At 43.7% G+C, this 17,319-nt stretch overlaps 1 protein-coding gene and 1 long non-coding RNA gene across 3 annotated transcripts in view, besides 8 other annotated features; one reads left to right on the forward strand and one right to left on the reverse strand.

Annotated features, from left to right (window-relative positions):
* Positions 36 to 95: an enhancer, noted in NCBI's record as "active region_27517". NCBI's record gives its function as "activates an Ori minimal core promoter by ATAC-STARR-seq in GM12878 lymphoblastoid cells {active_cell/tissue: GM12878}" and the evidence as "EXISTENCE:reporter gene assay evidence [ECO:0000049][PMID:35858748]".
* Positions 3,270 to 4,469: an enhancer, noted in NCBI's record as "MED14-independent group 3 enhancer chr8:72742776-72743975 (GRCh37/hg19 assembly coordinates)". NCBI's record gives its function as "activates an origin of replication core promoter dependent on BRD2, BRD4, P300/CBP and CDK7 cofactors, and independent of MED14, by STARR-seq in HCT116 cells {active_cell/tissue: HCT116}" and the evidence as "EXISTENCE:reporter gene assay evidence [ECO:0000049][PMID:35650434]".
* Positions 4,046 to 4,225: an enhancer, noted in NCBI's record as "active region_27518". NCBI's record gives its function as "activates an Ori minimal core promoter by ATAC-STARR-seq in GM12878 lymphoblastoid cells {active_cell/tissue: GM12878}" and the evidence as "EXISTENCE:reporter gene assay evidence [ECO:0000049][PMID:35858748]".
* Positions 5,901 to 5,950: an enhancer, noted in NCBI's record as "active region_27519". NCBI's record gives its function as "activates an Ori minimal core promoter by ATAC-STARR-seq in GM12878 lymphoblastoid cells {active_cell/tissue: GM12878}" and the evidence as "EXISTENCE:reporter gene assay evidence [ECO:0000049][PMID:35858748]".
* Positions 11,958 to 12,017: an enhancer, noted in NCBI's record as "active region_27520". NCBI's record gives its function as "activates an Ori minimal core promoter by ATAC-STARR-seq in GM12878 lymphoblastoid cells {active_cell/tissue: GM12878}" and the evidence as "EXISTENCE:reporter gene assay evidence [ECO:0000049][PMID:35858748]".
* Positions 13,162 to 13,241: an enhancer, noted in NCBI's record as "active region_27521". NCBI's record gives its function as "activates an Ori minimal core promoter by ATAC-STARR-seq in GM12878 lymphoblastoid cells {active_cell/tissue: GM12878}" and the evidence as "EXISTENCE:reporter gene assay evidence [ECO:0000049][PMID:35858748]".
* Positions 13,934 to 14,794: an enhancer, noted in NCBI's record as "H3K4me1 hESC enhancer chr8:72753440-72754300 (GRCh37/hg19 assembly coordinates)". NCBI's record gives its function as "activates a minimal SCP1, AML or CMV promoter by ChIP-STARR-seq in primed H9 embryonic stem cells {active_cell/tissue: H9 hESC(primed)}" and the evidence as "EXISTENCE:reporter gene assay evidence [ECO:0000049][PMID:30033119]".
* On the reverse strand, positions 14,289 to 17,141 carry MSC (musculin). The gene is made up of 2 exons (NM_005098.4): positions 16,374 to 17,141; positions 14,289 to 15,476 (listed from the first exon to the last, which is right to left on the reverse strand). The coding sequence occupies exons 1-2, from the start codon at positions 16,905 to 16,907 to the stop codon at positions 15,390 to 15,392; spliced, it is 621 nt and encodes a 206-aa protein (NP_005089.2). The 5' UTR covers positions 16,908 to 17,141; the 3' UTR covers positions 14,289 to 15,389.
* Positions 15,852 to 17,319, forward strand: part of MSC-AS1 (MSC antisense RNA 1) — a 213,190-nt gene continuing 211,722 nt past the window's right edge. Inside the window, exons 1-2 of one of the 2 annotated variants that reach the window (NR_033652.1) lie at positions 15,852 to 16,433; positions 16,958 to 17,151. This is a non-coding gene — a long non-coding RNA (MSC antisense RNA 1). Of the gene's footprint in view, positions 16,434 to 16,844; positions 17,152 to 17,319 lie in introns of those variants that run through there. The other variant, NR_033651.1, reaches the window with a different exon arrangement.
* Positions 16,490 to 16,759: a silencer, noted in NCBI's record as "silent region_19278". NCBI's record gives its function as "represses an Ori minimal core promoter by ATAC-STARR-seq in GM12878 lymphoblastoid cells {active_cell/tissue: GM12878}" and the evidence as "EXISTENCE:reporter gene assay evidence [ECO:0000049][PMID:35858748]".

The following is a 17,319-nucleotide window of genomic DNA, read 5'->3' on the forward strand; positions in this document are numbered from 1 at the left end:
GGCAGAAGTGGTGGCCGTGCAGGGGATGCCCCTGACACAGTGACACATGTGCAGAAATCCAGCTTATCGGCCCTCTTGGATTCCCTCTTGCACAGTATTTGCTCTAGAAAGACTCCTGCCACCAGCTGCTTTCTTGAAGGTTGTAGGGGAAAAGGTTCCCTGGACCCCCCCTACACACCATCACCATTGGTACAGGGGGATTGCTGACACCTCCCCAAGGATGTCCTGAAGCTGTGACCAGGTTCCATAGGGAGTCTGCACTCATGGCTTTCCTTCAGGCTGTTTCCTAAGGAATCTGGAATAAGTCAGAGCATTTTGATGTTAAGGAACATGAGGTCTTTGAGAAGGCGTACAACCCCGATCCTTGTATTCATGACCAGTGACCTAAACCACTCTGGCTTGAGGAAAGGACAGAAAGTAACCTCAGGGTTCATCTCTGCTCCCTAGTCGGGTGCCGTGCCTCACGCCTGCAATCCCAGCACTTTGGGAGGCCGAGGAAGGCAAATCACTTGAGTCCAGGAGTTTGAGACCAGCCTGAGCAATATAGTGAGAAGCTTGTCTCTACAAAAAATAAAAATAAACAACTAGCGTGGTGGCTCATGCCTGTTGTCCCAGCTACTCAGGAGGCTGAGGTGGGAGGATCGCTGGAGCCCAGGAAGTCAAGGATGCAGTGAGCCATAATAGTGCCACTGTACTCCAGCCTGGGCAACATAGGCTTAACCCTGTCTTAACAAAAAAAAAAAAAAAAAAAAAAAAAAAAAAAAAAAAAAAATCTGCAGCCTGAGGGTTTGCTGCAACTTATATATTTACCACGAGATGGCGCGCTAATGACGTCTTTTTATTACTGGGACCGGCTGCGTGGCGCTCAATTATTTTTCCTATTGAATCCTGTGGAAAGTGCTGGAGCTGCAGAGAGGTCCCCAAACAGCAGAAACAATGAGCGTGTAAGTACTTAATATAGTGGGGAAATACCCATTGACATATATTTACCGCCCTTGAATTTGGGTTTCAAAGGACTCATTTTTTTGAACTTGGTTACATCATGAAATTCACCTAACATAAAAATTAGCTCTTAAACACAGCTGATGTCAATGGGTAACTTTTCCCGGGGAAGCAGATGCTGCCCGGGTTGTGTGCAGAGCGCCATCCTGGAGGAGCCGGGCTGCAGGGAGCTCCTTGAGGAGCCACATCCAGACCTCTAGCACTGAGTTATCTTTGCCTCCGCTTACCTTCTTGTATCTGCAACAAACCTTTTTAACGTATTCACTCTTGCTTTTCTCAGTTTTTGATAATCAGCCACCTTGCTGTAGTAAAGGATCACACTGTGGAATGCTAAAAAAAAATTGCCATTTTAAAGTAGACAATTTACTGGCATTTAGCATATTCCCAATGTCACGAAATCACCATTTCTATAAGTTTCAAAATATTGTCACCATTCCAAACTAAAACCCCTTAGCTATTAAACAGTTTCTATGTTCCCTCCTTGAACTGGCAACAACTAATCTGTTTTTGTCCCAAAGGATTGATCTATTCTGAATATTTTATATAAATGGAATCATACAATGTGTGACCTTGTGTGTCTACCTGCTTTCACTTAGCATAATATTTTCAAGGTTCATCCATGTTGTAGCACGTGTCAGTGTTTCCTTCCTTTTTATGGTGAGAACTTCCAGTGCAGTGTTGAATAGTCATGGTGAAAACAGGCATCCTTGTCTTGTTCCTGACCTTATGGGGGAAAGCTTTCAGTCTTTCATATTGGGTTTGATGTTAGCATAAAGGCGTCTTATGGTGCTGGGGAAGTTGCCTTCTCCTGGTTTTCTGTTTTGTTTTGTTTTGTTTTTTATCGTGAAAGAGTGTGGGATTTTGTTAAATGCTTTTCTATGTCGATGAAGATGATTGTGTGAGTTTTCCCCTTCATTCTATAATGTGTATTACATTGACTGATTTTCTTATGCCACACCATTCTTGCATTTTGGGGCATATAGTACTTTTAATAACTTTTCTTTAAAAATGAAGATGTGTGTAAAGTATTGCACAAATATAGATGAGGTAGAATTAATTCTGCAGGTTAAGGCAGAGGGAGTGGGAAGGGTTTAGGGGAGGAAGACAAAGAGAAGTCAGCCAGTAAAAGACAGACCAGAAATGACCTTAAATGACAAGGGGATTTTTTTTTAAAAAGCCAAACTTTCAAGCAGCATCTTTCTCTAATCCAAGACAGATGAGAAGCCAGTTTCCAAAAATCCAGTTTCATTTTCCTTATCTTTAAAATGATTAGATTATTTTGATTTTTATTGTCATTGCTATAATTATAGTTTCTTATCCTGTTTATTTCATAAAATTTTCCTAGGTATTGCATAATTTGGGGCCATAATTTTACATTGTTGCACAACAGTCCCGGTTAGGTAATTACAGTAACCATATAGTCTTTGTTTTTTATTATCTTTAGAATGCCATGATAAACCAAAGTAGATTACTTATGAGATACCTTCTAGCTCTAAAGTTTTGTGGCTTTATGATTCTACGAAATCTGTACCACAGATTCTTCCCTAACTGCGCAAATTCTACATCACAAATCCTAGACGGTTAGAAAACCTCTCTCTGGCAATTTCATTAAATCTACTGTACTTCTTATATGTTTCAATTCACACATGTTTTCTCTTTTTCTGTCTTTGGTGAAGATGGAAAAAAGTGGATCACTTGTTGTTGGTGGGAAATTGTTTGTTCCTATAACTCACTTAAGCAAGTATCTATTAAGGTCAAACAAAAATGATCAGCTCTTCTAGGCAGACTGGGGCTTCTCCTCGGTCATGGCATTTCTTGGCTCCCCTACCTCAGTTTCTCCCAGGAGCAGTTCTTTGTTCATCTTCAGATTGGCCACTCCCTGCCTCCACTGCTGGGCTCTCCAGGAGTATGTAATTTTGTGAGCTAAAAATCCTAAGTGAGAATAGATCTATTTTCTTTTTAGTTCAGCACATATAAATTGGGTGTTTTTCAAATCATCTTCATTATAAAATAAAGAGGAAAGCAAACCCAAAAAGAAACAAATATGTTTATAGACAAGTGCCACTCCCTGGGTTGCATTGGTGGGCACCGCCAAGGAAGCAGACAGCCTTGACTCCTTTCTGCGCTTTCGTCCCGTGTCAAGCCCTCGGAAGGAGGTATAGCTCTATGGCTCATCCGTTGTTCCGAGTTAACTCCTAAAGTTCAGTTAGTCTCATCGGTGGGCACCATCTTCCCACCAGCTTCCTTTCACCCCAGCAGACAACTTTTGGGGAGGCTCAGGGAATGGTTTTGGGTTCAGATTCTTAGCTAGAGAGAAATAGATTTAAACTCTGATTCCACCAGTTATTCCCTGTGTGGCCCTTGGAAGGTTATTGAAGCTTTGAGAGCCTGTTTTCCCACCCATAAATCAAGACTATCACAGGCCTATTCATGGGCCTGATCAGAGGCATTAAAGGGCTGATATCTGTAAAGCGTATAGCATGGTGCTTAGCGTGTTTACAGTATGAATTTGCCTCTTCCAATTTTAAAGCTTTACATTTTAAAGTACTTTACTGAACTCAGTCAATACTCTTCTTTTTCTGTCTGAGGGCTCCCTAGCACCATCAGATTATGTACAGCAGAAATAGTAGTGTCAAATGGTAGTGACTAATTAGACATACTTTCTTAGTTGTCTGTGATGACTACATATCTCGGGTGGTTCCAGGGTATGGACTTTCCCAAATCAAATCACCCTCGTTTTACAAGTGAGAAGGAATTTAAACTAAAGAGTAGCAATAACTATTTTCTATCAAGAGAAATTTATTAAATATTTATTGATCATCTGCTTTGTACCAGACAGATGGAGGTTGTAATTTCATAAGACACAAAATGAAAAATGATGATTCCTGCTCTGAAGATATTTAGAATCCAATGAAAGAAAAAAGGCATGCTCACATGCGATCAAGGCAAGGGCCCTGTTTCCAAGCTTTGTGTCTCTGAGCTGCACAAACCCCTTCTCTCTTTAAGCTTTCAGTTATGATTTTACCCCCTCTGAAAGAATCTAAGTCCCCAGAGTAAGACCAAATTTGATAAGAATCTGTATGGGCCAATGGATGGTAGAGTTCCCAAATGAATGGCAAAGTTTCTCAATTCTGTACTGTTTCAAACTTGCCCTTTTAAATTTTAGTGATAAATCATGACTCATGATGACTTTGCTATTCACTGTCTGGCCCGAATTAGAAACCTTGTAGTCATTGTGGCTTTTACCCTGGCTTTCATCACACACATCCAGTCTATAACCCAGTTAATTTGATTCTAGCAGTCAAAAGTCTCTTGGCTCTATCCCTGGTATTCCCACCACCATCGTCTCAGCCTAGGCCTCAGTTTCTTTTGCCTGGACTGTCCAACTTGTGCTCTGTTCAATCTATTCTGCACATTGCCAGACAAAGTAGCTTTCTATGAGTCTGTGCTCAGGTGAATCACATATCGGGATATGGGACAGGTTTAAAGGTCCGAGTATAGAAACAACAACAGTATATTTTGAGAAGTCTTGGAGAAAGGTGAAAATTGTCACAGGGAGATGTCCTAACCTAAAAAGGGAAAACTCACTAGATTCTTGAAACGATAGGTCAAATTTCAGCATCTCCTAGGTTGTCAGGAGTTTGAAGAAAACCAGTAGTTGTTTATATATTATACTTTTTCCTGAAGATTCTTTTATTTGGATCTGATGTTTTTCCACTATAATTTTTACTCTGGAGCAAACCAAACTCAATCATAGAATCTTTTTAAAAGGTCTGAACAGATCTTGTGTTTGGGTTTTTTTTTCAGACAGTCTCTTTCTGTCGCCCAGGCTGGAGTGCAGTGGCACGATCTCGTCTCACTGCAAGCTCCGCCTCCTGGGTTCACGCCGTTCTCCTGCCTCAGTCTCCCGAGTAGCTGGGACTACAGGTGCCCGCCACCATGCCTGGCTAATTTTTGTGTATTTTTAGTAGAGACGGAGTTTCACCGTGTTAGCCAGGATGGTTTCGATCTCCTGACCTCATGATCCACCCACCTCGGCCTCCCAAAGTGCTGGGATTACAGGCTTGAGCCACCGTGCCTGGCCAGGTTTTTAAACACTAATGAAAGTTTGTTTTGAGACTAGAACAGTTTTAAGTACCATCATTTCTGTGCTTATTTGGTTTCCATATAATGTGGAGAAGTTGTTTTCTACCTTTGTAAGATTAAATACTTATCACAGAAATGAAGAGTCTGTGGCAAAGTTTATCATCAACAGTGAAATCACGTAGAGATATTACAGATCTTCTGCAGAACAAGTCAAAAGACACCTGAATGGCTTGAGTTTCATCTGTTAGGTTGGTGCAAAAGTAATTGAGGTTTTTGCCATTGAAAGTAATGGCAAAAACCTCAGTAACTTTTGCACCAAACTCATAAAACATTTAAGTGTAGGTTGACTTTGTTCATTTTCTCAAGCTTTCAGCCTCCCCGTATTGTGATGTACTAGCAATAAAGGGAGACATAATCAGTGCTATTCTGAAGACCCACAGTAAGCAGGGCATTCATTTAAAACTATGGTGCAGTTAAGGCCCCATCCAGCCCAGACCCCTCATTTTAGGTGAGAAATCATAGTTGGAAGAGGGAGAGACTGCCCAAGGCCACCCAACAAGTCAGGCTCTGAGAACGCCCCACTTGCAACCCCACGCGGGCTCCGGGGCACTTGGCCAGTGTGCATGGAAAACAGCTGCAGAGAAATAGCTGTCATGGTGCCAAATTCTTATCTGCTGGTGTCCTTCAGATTGGGTGGGCTGGATGCCAAGGGGAAACTCAGAGTCTGTGAATTCTAATCCTGGACCTGCTAGTAAACAGTTCTGGTCATAGGGTCTTAAATTTCCCTCCCTTTGTCACAGGCTGTTGTTAGTCTAGCAACCAGGGGATAATTCCCTGAAGTGACTGAGCAGAGCTTCTGGGATCCACCCCAGGAGACCTGAAAAGCAGAGGAGCATCCTGAGAGTCCATCTGAGTCAGTGCCTATTGTTGGTGTTGCTTTAACCCTGATATGTTATAGTGGCCATACCATCAATCTACACACTTTTCTATCCAGCTCTCCTGACCATGCAAATGTACTTTACTCTCTATTCCCTCACCCCCAGCATGAGCCAGAAGTGTTGCTTCTCATGCAAATCAATACCTTGAGATTTTCAAAATTCTGAAGAGGCCAACCTTTTCAGAGGAGAACTGAAACAGAATCAGTTAAAGGCTCATATCTTTCAGCTTTAAGGGAAAATGAGTGACTCTGAATGGTCAGGGATAGGCCCCTCAGCACCTGCTTAAAGTTTGTCAAGAGAACATGGAGATCATCTCAGTGCGATGATAATGGTGACAACAATACTAATAGACTAGCATTTGCTAAGCACTTACTATGTGCCAGGCACTGTGCTAAGTATTTCACTTCCAATATTGCATTTAATCTTCCCAACAAAGCCATCAGGTAGCTTCTATTATATCATCATTCTACAAATGAGAACACTGAGGCTCAGGGATTTGAAGTCCCTTGTAAGAGTCCATGTTCTTAACCACCATCCTAGATGATAATCCCCATCACTGGTTAGTGATGGCAGCCTGCTGTCATTTATATTCTTCTGGTATGCCCTCCTGCTGCCTTGCCTAGCCTCCTCCAATAGTCACCTCCCTTGTCGGCTCTCTGGGAAGACCCCCATGACAGCCTGGGGCTGGGGTTTGTGCCTTTCCTCTCACAGCGCCACCTTCTGTCATAGCCCTTGGCACACTGCACTTCAATTGTTGGGCCATTTGTCCTTTTCCTCCTTTAGAGCTCTTTGAGAAGAGGCAACTCTCTGATTCATTCTGGTCTATCCAGCACTGTCCTGGGTAATAGCAGATGATCAAAAAATGTTTCTTGAATAAATGGCTGATGTGAAAAATTTACTTGACAGTATGTTTTGGTTATCTATTGCTGAGTATCAAAGAACTCCAAATTTAGTTGCTTAAAATAACAACTATATTTTCATTTTTCATGACTCTGTAGGTCAGGAATTAGGACAGGACCTAGCGGGAATGGTGCACCTCTGCTATCTGTCCTGTAAGGCTTCTTCTCATTCCACTAGGATGATTTCACAGCTGGCTGGAATGGCACCCCTGGGGTCCTGGGGTCCTAAGATTGCATGTCTGGGGTCTGAGTCTGCACTGTCAGCTGGGCTCCTTGGTTCTCTCAGTGTGGTCTTAGGGCATCTCTCTCTCAGGTGGTTTCGCCATTTGGTGCCCTCAGGGACTTGGTTGGACTTCTCACATGGACGCATAAGGATCCCAATAAGTAAATGAGGAAGCTGCTAGCCCTTACTGCTTAGGCCAGAACTGGCAGAGTCACTTCTGCCTCCTTTCTATTGGTTAAAGCAAGTAACTGGGCCACCCCTACACAGGGCCTGGAGACTAGGGGGTCTGGTTCACTGGGGACCATTCTTGTGACTAGGCACCCCATAGTTTAATAGAGCCATCTTTGTCCCTCTCCAAGTCTCCAAAGAAATGTTAGTCAAAGGAAGACTGATCCCGAGAAGGTGGATAGCTTAGCCTATTTCATCACCACAACTTGAGGGAAAACCTATAATGAAAATAAATAAATGTTAGAGATACCCAGAGAGTCTGTGCATGTAAACAGCTGGTAATACAGTGCCTTGTCAGAAACATCTACGATGCTTGACTCAAGAGCATAGCATTTAGCCTGTGCCAGCAGCGCACCTCTGGCAATGCAAAGATTTGAACTGTGTTATAACTCTGGTCTTTCCCATCACTCACAGACCCGTCCTCTTTTTATATTTTGTTTACCCACCTTTTCCTCTCAGGCTCCTAAGGCCTTTGTTTCCACATTTTAGAGCATTGCCATTTATGGTATAGGTGCTCCTTAGCTGGATTTTGTATGAGGAGTCTGTGTTAGTTTGTTTGCATCGCTATAAAGAAATACCCAAGACTGGGTAACTTTTAAAGAAAAGAGGTTTATTTTGGCTCACAGTTCCGCAAGCTTTGCAGGAAGAGTGGTGCCGGCATCTGCTTCTGATGAGGGCCTTAGGAAGCCTACAATCGTGGTAAAAGGCAAAGGGGGAGCAGGCGTATCACATGGCTAGAGAGGGAGCAAGAGAGAGGAGGTGCTAGGCTCCTTTAAACAGCCAGCTCCTGTGTGTACTAAGTGAGGACTCACTCGTTACCAAGGAGATGGTGCTAAGCCCCTTGTGAGGGATATGCCCCCATGATCCAATATCTCCTGCCAGGCCCTACCTCCAACATTGGGGATCACATTTCAATGTGAGATTTGGAGGGGACAAAGATCCAAACCATATCAGAGTCCTTGTCACTTTTGCACAAGGGACCCTCCTTTCCCCCTCCCTAGCTCTTGGAACAGTTTCTTTAAAGATTGTTCAAATCCCTTGGCCTTCATGTCCTGGACTTTTTAAATTTTATGGTATCCTTTCTTTACATTGGAAGAAGTTTGCTTCAAAAATATTTGATGATTCCCTCGTTTTTTTTTTATTGTTGTTTGTTTTTGTTTCTTTTGTACTTAAATTGCATGCCAAGGCATTTAGTTGTTTTAGTGGCTTACCTTAGAGAAATTAATCTATATTATCATGAGCAAATATATTTGTCGGCCATTTGGCAGACCTATAGATAAAATCGTCTTTATTGAGAATCAATGAAAATGATTCCCAAGTTTCTTGAAATAAATTTCTTTATTAGGATTATATAATGTTATGATTCTAACATAATTCTCAGAGAATAATAATATATGTGCAAAAGAAATGGGATTTTAGAGACCTGGGTTTTGGGCATCACTTTTCCTTTCATCTGAATTCCAGGTCCAGCCCTGAGGTTACAAAGACTCAAAATTCAAGGGCCTAAATAGGAGACAGGAGAGATGGGTACTAGGAAGAAAGAGTAGGAGGTGGTAAAGAAAGCCTTCTGAGTGCAGACTACAGGAGACCAGCTCAGGCATTTGGCCCTACTGATTTGCCTGGCTGGACTACAGAGGTGTTCATGAAGAAAGCCTAGCCCAGTTAAGTCATTATCCTAACCTCTCTAGTCAGTCTTTCTGATGAAATATTTACTCCCATATCCAACCTATACATGATCCACAGGCTTCTGTCCTACTGAGACTGCTGCAAAATCAAGAAAACACTACTAACTCTTATCAATGAAAAGAGCCTTAAGAATTATCTAGGCCAGTGGTTCTCAAACTTTTTGATCTCTGGTCTCTTCATACTTTCATTAAAAAGTTATTAAAAGTTATTAAAAACTCTTAAAAGCTTTTGCTTATGTAGCTGGCTTGTATCTGTTGACATTCACTGGAGCAGAAATCAAAACCAGTGAGACCCAGTCTCTTAAATAAACTAATTAATTAAAATAAAAAGAAATCAAAACCAAACAAAAATATTTATTTATTAATAAATTTTAAAATAATAAGCTAATTACATGTGAATGTAAATAACATTTTTAATAAAAAATAACTATGTTTCTAAAACATTTTGATGGGAAGGGTGGCATAATTTGATATTTTTGCAAATAAATCTCTTTAACGTCTCACTTTATAGAAGACAGCTGCATTCTCATATTGGCTTTCTGCTTCAATCTGTTGTGATATGTTATTTTGGTTGAAAGTCCAGCCTCACAAACACATGTAATTATAAGGAGAAAGAAGTAAGGCATGTAATTGTAGTTTAAATATGTATGTAAAATATTGTATGTATGTAAATGTGTATGTAAAAATATTTTAATGGATATTGCAAGTAATTGTGAACATTCTTTGATATGACACCAAAACTCCACAAGTGTAGTTCCTGAAATGTTGGTTGTAACATTTCATGAAATCCAAAATTAGCTAAACAAACTTGTGGTACTCTGTAACATCAAAATTCATCAGTGTGGCTTGTTTCACTTAACATAATTTCCTTCATTTCTATCCATGTTGTTGCAAATGACAGAATTTCACTCTTTTTTATGGCTGAATAATATTCCATTGTGTATATGTACCACTTTTTTGAATCCATTATTCTCACCAATATGTAGGAATTAAAAAATGTGAGCTCACAGATATAGAGAGTAGAATATCAGTTACCAGAGGCTGGGAAAGGTAGTGAGGAGGGAGGATAAAGAGGGCATGGTTAATGCAAATAACAATACAGTTAGATAAGGAGTAAGATCTAGTGTTCAGTTGCACAATAGGGTGACTATAGTTAAAAATAATCTTTTGTATATTTCAAAATAACTAAAATGATGGAATTGGAATGTTCCTAACACAAAGAAACAATAAATGTTTGAGGTGATGAATACCCCAATCACCCTGATTTGATCATTACACATTGTATGCTTGTATAAAAATATCACATGTACCCCATAAGTCATACAGCTATTATGTATCCATAATAATTGAAGATAAAAAATTAAAACAAATTCATTGTTTTATCTTGTACCCTGAAATGAGTTTAAAATCTCATGCATAATTTTTGATGCTGAGTGTTATGGGAAGAAGCTTAATGAAAATTTCTCCTTAGTAACAAGAAAGAGGTCAATATACAAAAGTAGCATAAAAGAGCAAGGTGATAAAATGGCAAAAGGGACTGATGAGATAAATTTTCAGAGGATCAAGGACATAAACTATTATAAGCAAAAGAGAAAGAAAATCAAGCCTTTTTTTTTTTAAATTCTCATCTATGGAGCATTTCCCAAGTGCTTAATGAGACGATTTCATGTAATCCACTCTTAAAGTGTTGTGTGAGGTTGAATGAATGATTCCTGACTTACAGAAGAGGTAAGGTACATTATGCAGCGCCAGGAAATGTGGGACTGGAACCCACTACATCTGACCCAGCCATCTGTGAATTTTTTTTTAAATGAGTTTTTACAAATTCCAAACGTAATATGCAAATTTTTTCAACAAACAAAAGTAAAAGATAAAAGCTTCTTGTTCTTCCTCCCCTCCCGTTCCACTGCTAAAAGTTAGTAATAGTCCATACAGACAGCATATTTTCACCAAATGAAAGCCCCAGCTTTTATTTGCTCCACGATCCTCCTTACCATAAGCCATAAAGAATCTCAAGGCTGATCCAGAACTATCTTGGTGATAGCAGAACCAACAAGAGAGAAGGCTGCTAAATGCTACACGAGTTTACATGATTACATGTGGATTTCTGACTGTGGCTACTTTCTGGACCTTTTTAGAGCCCTGGGTTTGAAGGATTTCTCTGGATCAACTTTCACTGTTGTGGGAGAAAGACGAAAAATAACACAAAACGTGAACACAACAGTGAAAGGGATGAATGGAGAGTGGTGAGTGCACTGATGCAAACACCCTGGGTGCCCACAAATGAGTATGCAGAGTTCACACTGAAAGGAGATATGGCCACGTGATCAGTTACGAAGGGAGCCAATCTGGTGGACTTTCCCACAAGTTGGAAGCTTGGTAGTGAGAAGTGAATTATCAATTTACCTTGTTTCTCCTTTCCAAATGTGACTCTGAGTTACTGTTTTAATTTTTAATATTTTTTCAGAAGTATCAACCAAATTATCTACCAAATATCTATTAAAATAGAATGTGTTCATTTAGTTGTTTGTTTGTGTGTGTGTGTTTTACAGACAAGAGATGTTTCTTTATTTTTTTAACTTCTAGGCATTTATTATCAGGGAAAAATCTGTGACTGTGAAAGTCTTTTGTGAATTTTAAGGGTCATTGTTGCTATCTGTTGAAGGAGCTGCCAAACTAAAGTGAAATTATAAGTTGAAGCCCAGTGCAAAAGAATACGCACAACATAAATTCAACTCCACAACCAAGAGAAACGCCTGAATGTTTCAAAATTACAGTGCTGAAAGCGTTTCTTTTCAGATATTCATCTTAGGAAGAGTCTGTGGAAGGGGATTTTTGTTCTCTTTGGTTGAGTCAGCATCACTAATAATAATGCTTTGGTCCCTCAAAAAGCCCCCTGAAGAGTATTATTCAATTTACTCATTTTGTTTGTTATTTAGCACATTGTACATTGTATTTCTTAGACTTCTTTCTCTCATCTTTTCTCTCATAGCAGTACAATCAAATCGAAGTAATCCTAAGCACATACTTCATTTTTTTCTCTTAAGCCCCGCTCCCCACCCCACTTCCTGCCCACTTCTCCAACCCCAACTCCCATTTCTCAAACTCAAATCACTAAAGGAAAATGATGAGAGAGAGAGAGAGATTTGGTGATGCCTGTCTACCACTTAGAACACACTCTAGTAATGGTAGATAAAGAAAAGGCTGGTTTAAGATGTTTAAGGCCTGTCCCAACAGCAACACATGCACAGAAGCTTGCATAATTTACATGGACTCATTGGGGCTTACTAGAAAGTGGCCTCTTTCTTTTTCTTCTTCTTTTCTTAAATAACGTAATGCCTGGCATTGGATTTTTTACAGAAACTGTGGAGCAGAGCATTCTTGAGAAAGTTTTTTTTTCTTCATAAACTATAGGACTATAAAGTGGTCATTAAAATGAATTTCCAGGGTGCAGTGCAACACTCCCTGTACATGTGAGTCAGTGACAAGCATCACCTTAATTGGGGGTTAGAGACAGAAAATCTGTGAGTTTACTCCTGAGTTGGCCAGAAGGAATATAATTATAGAAACACATATTTTAAATATTATTCTTTCACTTGTGGAAATTTGCCCAAATATTTCCTTGTTTATTCAAATGCTTGTTCTTATTTGTATTCACTACAAATATAGCTATTCTTTCTGTTTTTCTGTATTTCTGTTTGTCCACTCTTGTGGGACATTTCTCTTTCACGGTTGTAATCCAGGCATCTCAAAACAAGATCCAACCTTAAAGACTGGACTCTGCGAATGTCACACCTGTTTAAAGTATCCCCCTTTGCGGAAGTGGTTCCCTCTGCCTCTGGATTTCCTTTAGTGACCAGCATTTAGTGCACTGCTCATTGCATATTAAATGATTTGTTTAAATACATTATCATATTTATTCCTAAGGCAATATTCCAGGTAGGCACTGTGATGACCCCCATTCTACGGAAGAGGAAACTGAGGCTCAGAGGTGTTCATAATGTAACTTGCACATGCTCACTAATCCTGTGGCAAAGCTTGAATTTCAAGCTGGGTTCTTTAGACACTCAGGTTCCCTTTAACCTACTTACACTGAGCTGCCTCCTTTCCTTGAAAAGAGCCTAATTTGCTGGACTTTTTGGAAGTCACCTTGACTAAGATCTGGCCTTCAGCAGACACTCTTCCTCAAGAAGCTTTCTACCCAGGACTCACCGCTGAAGTGCTTGGTAGGGTTTCCTGCCACAGGTTACTTCAGGTTCCCTCTTGTCAGAAAGCCCCTAATGCCACAGACACCACTGATGTTAGACTGGATCCCCAGGGCGGGTTCCGTCCCAGGTTATGAATAAAAGCCCAAGACAATCTTGTCAGAAAGCAGTTCTTTAGCATTTTGGTTGGTTTAACTCAAAACAGGAAGTCACTCTCCCCACCCCAACCCCCCTTACCTCCTAACTAAAATCCAGCTGTATTTTTCTCTCAGGGTCAGGAAAACTGCCTTTCAATTGCACAAAATGGACAGAACCCCAAGTTGGGCAGTTGTTTGTGTAGTTTTATCCTTTACACTTTTCTAAATGTTCTACAAAGAGAACGTTGCTTTTAAAAGAACCAGCCGTTTTAAAAATTGTATTATAGGGTTTCCAAGTTGTTACCTTCTACAAAAATTGCAGTACAAGTGGAAGAAAATAACACGGAAAATGAGTGTACGTTTAAAAAGATATATAAACATTTGATAAAAGAAAAGCACCGTTGAAATACAAATTGGCTTCTTATATTAGGGTTTTATTCTGCCAGTTACACTGGAGACTTGTGGGTGGGCCTTAGGGTTTTTTTTTGAACTACTTGCAATGGTAAGGATTGGAGTGTGCTTTTAGCTGGAGTAGCTGCTGTGTGTGTTGTGTGTGTGTGTGTGTGTGTGTATGAGAGACGTGCACCTATGTTAGCCTGAGGAGTGTATGTCTGTCAGGACAGCAGGGGCCTCAAGACTCAGGACTTTTATTAGGCCTCCAGTTATGGCCTTCCAGGAAGCCCGGCGCGGAGAAGCAGCAGAATCATAGAGATTAATAAAGAATGACGTTTGGAAATGGAGTGATCCAAAAGTGATCGCCACCATTCCTCCCGCAATGACCCACCGCCCTGACCAGAGGAGATCAGCCCTTAAAAGTTAACTTCTACAGCCAAACCCTCTTAGTAAAGGGCAACAAAGACCACATCCTGACACCTCCAAGGGGCACACGGTTTTTACAGCGCGTTTTATTATTCATAAAAAAATAAATTTATTTACATATGTTATTTCCTGTGGTAGTGCAGCCTCGGGGCAAGGGCGCGTTCCCTATCGCAGGATCACTTGCTATGGTAAGCCGCCCACCCTGCGCGCTCCTCCGCGCGGGGAAGAACCTGCGCGGCAGGACGTGGTGTTGGAGTTGGGGCGCCCGGAGCGTGGAGTGGGGAGACCTGATGCAGAGAGTCTGGAGTCGGAGCTGGGGGTGCTGCAGGTAGGAGCAGGAGCGGGGCGGAGAGGGAGGCCCGAAGAAGACCCCACACAGGTTGGCGCAGCGGGGCTTGGGGAGGCTTCAGCCCAGAAGTGGAGAGGGTTGACAGACGCCTGCCTGATTAGAAAAAGCCGGGAGCTTGGGAAGGAGACGGGATTGAAGAAGCCACCCGGCAGGGAGGCCGAACGGCCCAGAGCTCTCCGGGTAAAACCCGCCTGCGGTGATCTGGGAAGTGTGTCTCCACCTAGCCCTGCGAGCAGCGGCCTTCCTCCCGCCCGTTAGAAGGGCGCTGTGCTGGAGTACGAACCCGGCCCAGAGAAGCCACTCGCCCTTCTTTGTCACTTAAAACCCTGTCCCGACGCGGATCTCACGTCTAGACCTCTGTCTTTAAAGCGGATGTAGAGCGCGTTCTAACCGTTCCCTAACCATTGTGTCACCGCGAAAGGCCGGGGCTGTGTGGAACCGTCCCGCACGTGTGCGATGAATCTGGCTCCGCTGAGAACGGATCCGTGGGCTGTCTGGCGCGGGCTGGGGCAGCAGCCGAGAGTTAGTCTACAGAGCTAGGGCCCGAGGGTGGACCTGCGTCCGCGTCTCGTCACGAAAGGAAGCTCTTTTTGGAGAGGCAAAACGTGGTCGCCCAGATCCGGCGCAGCTGTAGCCGTGGGCGCTGTGCAGTGACAGCCACACCCGCCACCTGTCACGATCACAGTTCCAGGGAAAGGGGAAGGGTCAAGGAGAATCCAGCGGAAACTTCTTCCCATCTCACGAGCTCTCCCTTCTCTCCGTGGCCCCCAAACACTCGCATTTAACGAATAATCCCATCAAGTGAGTTCCAGTCCGATTTAAGCGGTGGTTCCACATAGTCTGTTGGCTGCGGAAACTTCTTTGGTGTCAGAGTCCGGTCTTCCCGAGACCACGAATGGCCATGTCTGTAAATCAAAAAGAACGTGAGATATTAGAGAGAAACGATTGTCTCAAACCGAAACAGCTCTCCTACGCGAACCCCAGATATTCCTGACTTGGAGTAGCTAAGATTTTATCAGCATTCTGGGAATTTGCATGTCCTCTCTCTGAACTAAGATTTTCATTTTACTGGAGGTTGATAATCCGAGACTTGCCATATCCGTTCACGCTTCTTCCTGGACTTTGCCCGCAGGATAATTTGGTGAAACTCATCTGACTTTGAGGTTCTGTCGTTTAGTTCCCTTCCCCAACACACACACACACACACGCACACACACACACACACACACACACACACACAGTCATCCACTCCAAGCTCCAAGTAGGAACTGGGCTTGGACAGGATTTTTCCCAAGCCGGGAGAGCTGGCAGATCAGAGAGGGACTTTCCAGATAAATCCCATCTGGGGAAACGTTACTATCTTCCACAAGCAATTTTTCTAAAAATGCAAATGCTCTTTTATAGAGCTCGGCCTTCCCTCCTTTAAGAAAGGGCTTGCCGATTCAAACCTGCCCGACTCAGCTGGATTAAGTTGGGCAAGGGAGATTTGCCGTCAGTCTGCAACCTGGTGGCAGATGGAGATGGAACCAAGATTTACCCTGGAAGTAGGATATTAGTCAATGGCTGTCACTGGGGTACAATGTTCAGAACGATGCAAACAGACACGGAGGGTTGATTCTTCTTCAGGGAAATGGCTGGCCACTCCCTTGATTTGGGAGAAACTAAACTGGCCTTCTCGTTCCCAGTCCCAGAACCTCCACCCCTTTCGAATTCTTCCCAACGGGCTGACCCTGCCCGGCGCCCAGGAGCGCCCTGGGTATCTCCTGGCTGCTCTCCCGAATCCTTGCGCGCCGCGCCCCTACCAGGTTCACTGGGTGCACGTAGCCGTTCTCATAGCGGTCCTCCTGCAACAGCTGCCGCAGGTGAGCGATGTAACTGGAAGCCAGCCGGAGCGTGTCCAGCTTGGAGAGCTTAGTGTCGGGGGGCACCCAGGGCAGGCTGGTCTTGAGCCTGGAGAAGGCTTTGCTCAGCACGCGCATCCGGGCACGCTCACGGGCGTTGGCCGCGTTCCGCTGCGACTGCTTGCACTCTGCGGCTGAGCCCTTGGCCGGGAGGGGCTTCTTGCCACCACCGCCCGCGCTACCACCTGCGCCGCCGCCCCCAGCCACACGGGGCCGCTTCCTCTTGCAGCCTTCCGCGCTGCCGGCTGTGCCCAGAGCGCAGCGCTCCTCCTCGCCGTCGGGGTCCTCCTCCTCTGCCGACGAGTTGTCACTGGGCGAGGCGTAGCTGCGCTCTACGCCGCGGAGGGGCGGCCTCTTGGAGGCGGGGACCGGGTACTCCCGCTGCAGCCCCCGAAGCTCCATCTCCTCCGGATCACTCACCGAGCCCGTGGACATCCCGTTGTCCCCCTTGCCCACACGCGTCCTCTTTCCTCCCCCCTGGCCAGTCTCGCTGTCTCCGCCTTCCGCTCCCTGGCGGAGGCGGAGGCCAGAGAGCGCTCCAAGGAAGACTAAAAACCCAGGCCGGGAAGCGCGGGGTGAGAAAGCGAGGTGGGTGGCGAGAGCGTGAGCGCCCCTCTGCTGACCCCGGGGAGCGTGGACTACGAGTTGGCGCCCAAGTCCAGAATCCGCGCGCACCGCGGTAAGCTGCGCCTTTTGAAAAGGCTATCTGTACTCCTTGGAACAAACCACCCCGGGCAAAGAAGAGGGGGTTGTAAAGGGGGCCAAGAGGTGGGGCAGGGGCGTGGAAGGGGTGGGGACCGCTTTTCTGCATGCCGAAGAGCGGTTGGTGGAGGCGGGGGAAGGGGAC

This window comes from Homo sapiens, chromosome 8 (assembly GCF_000001405.40).
Source record: "Homo sapiens chromosome 8, GRCh38.p14 Primary Assembly".
NCBI lineage: Eukaryota > Metazoa > Chordata > Mammalia > Primates > Hominidae > Homo > Homo sapiens.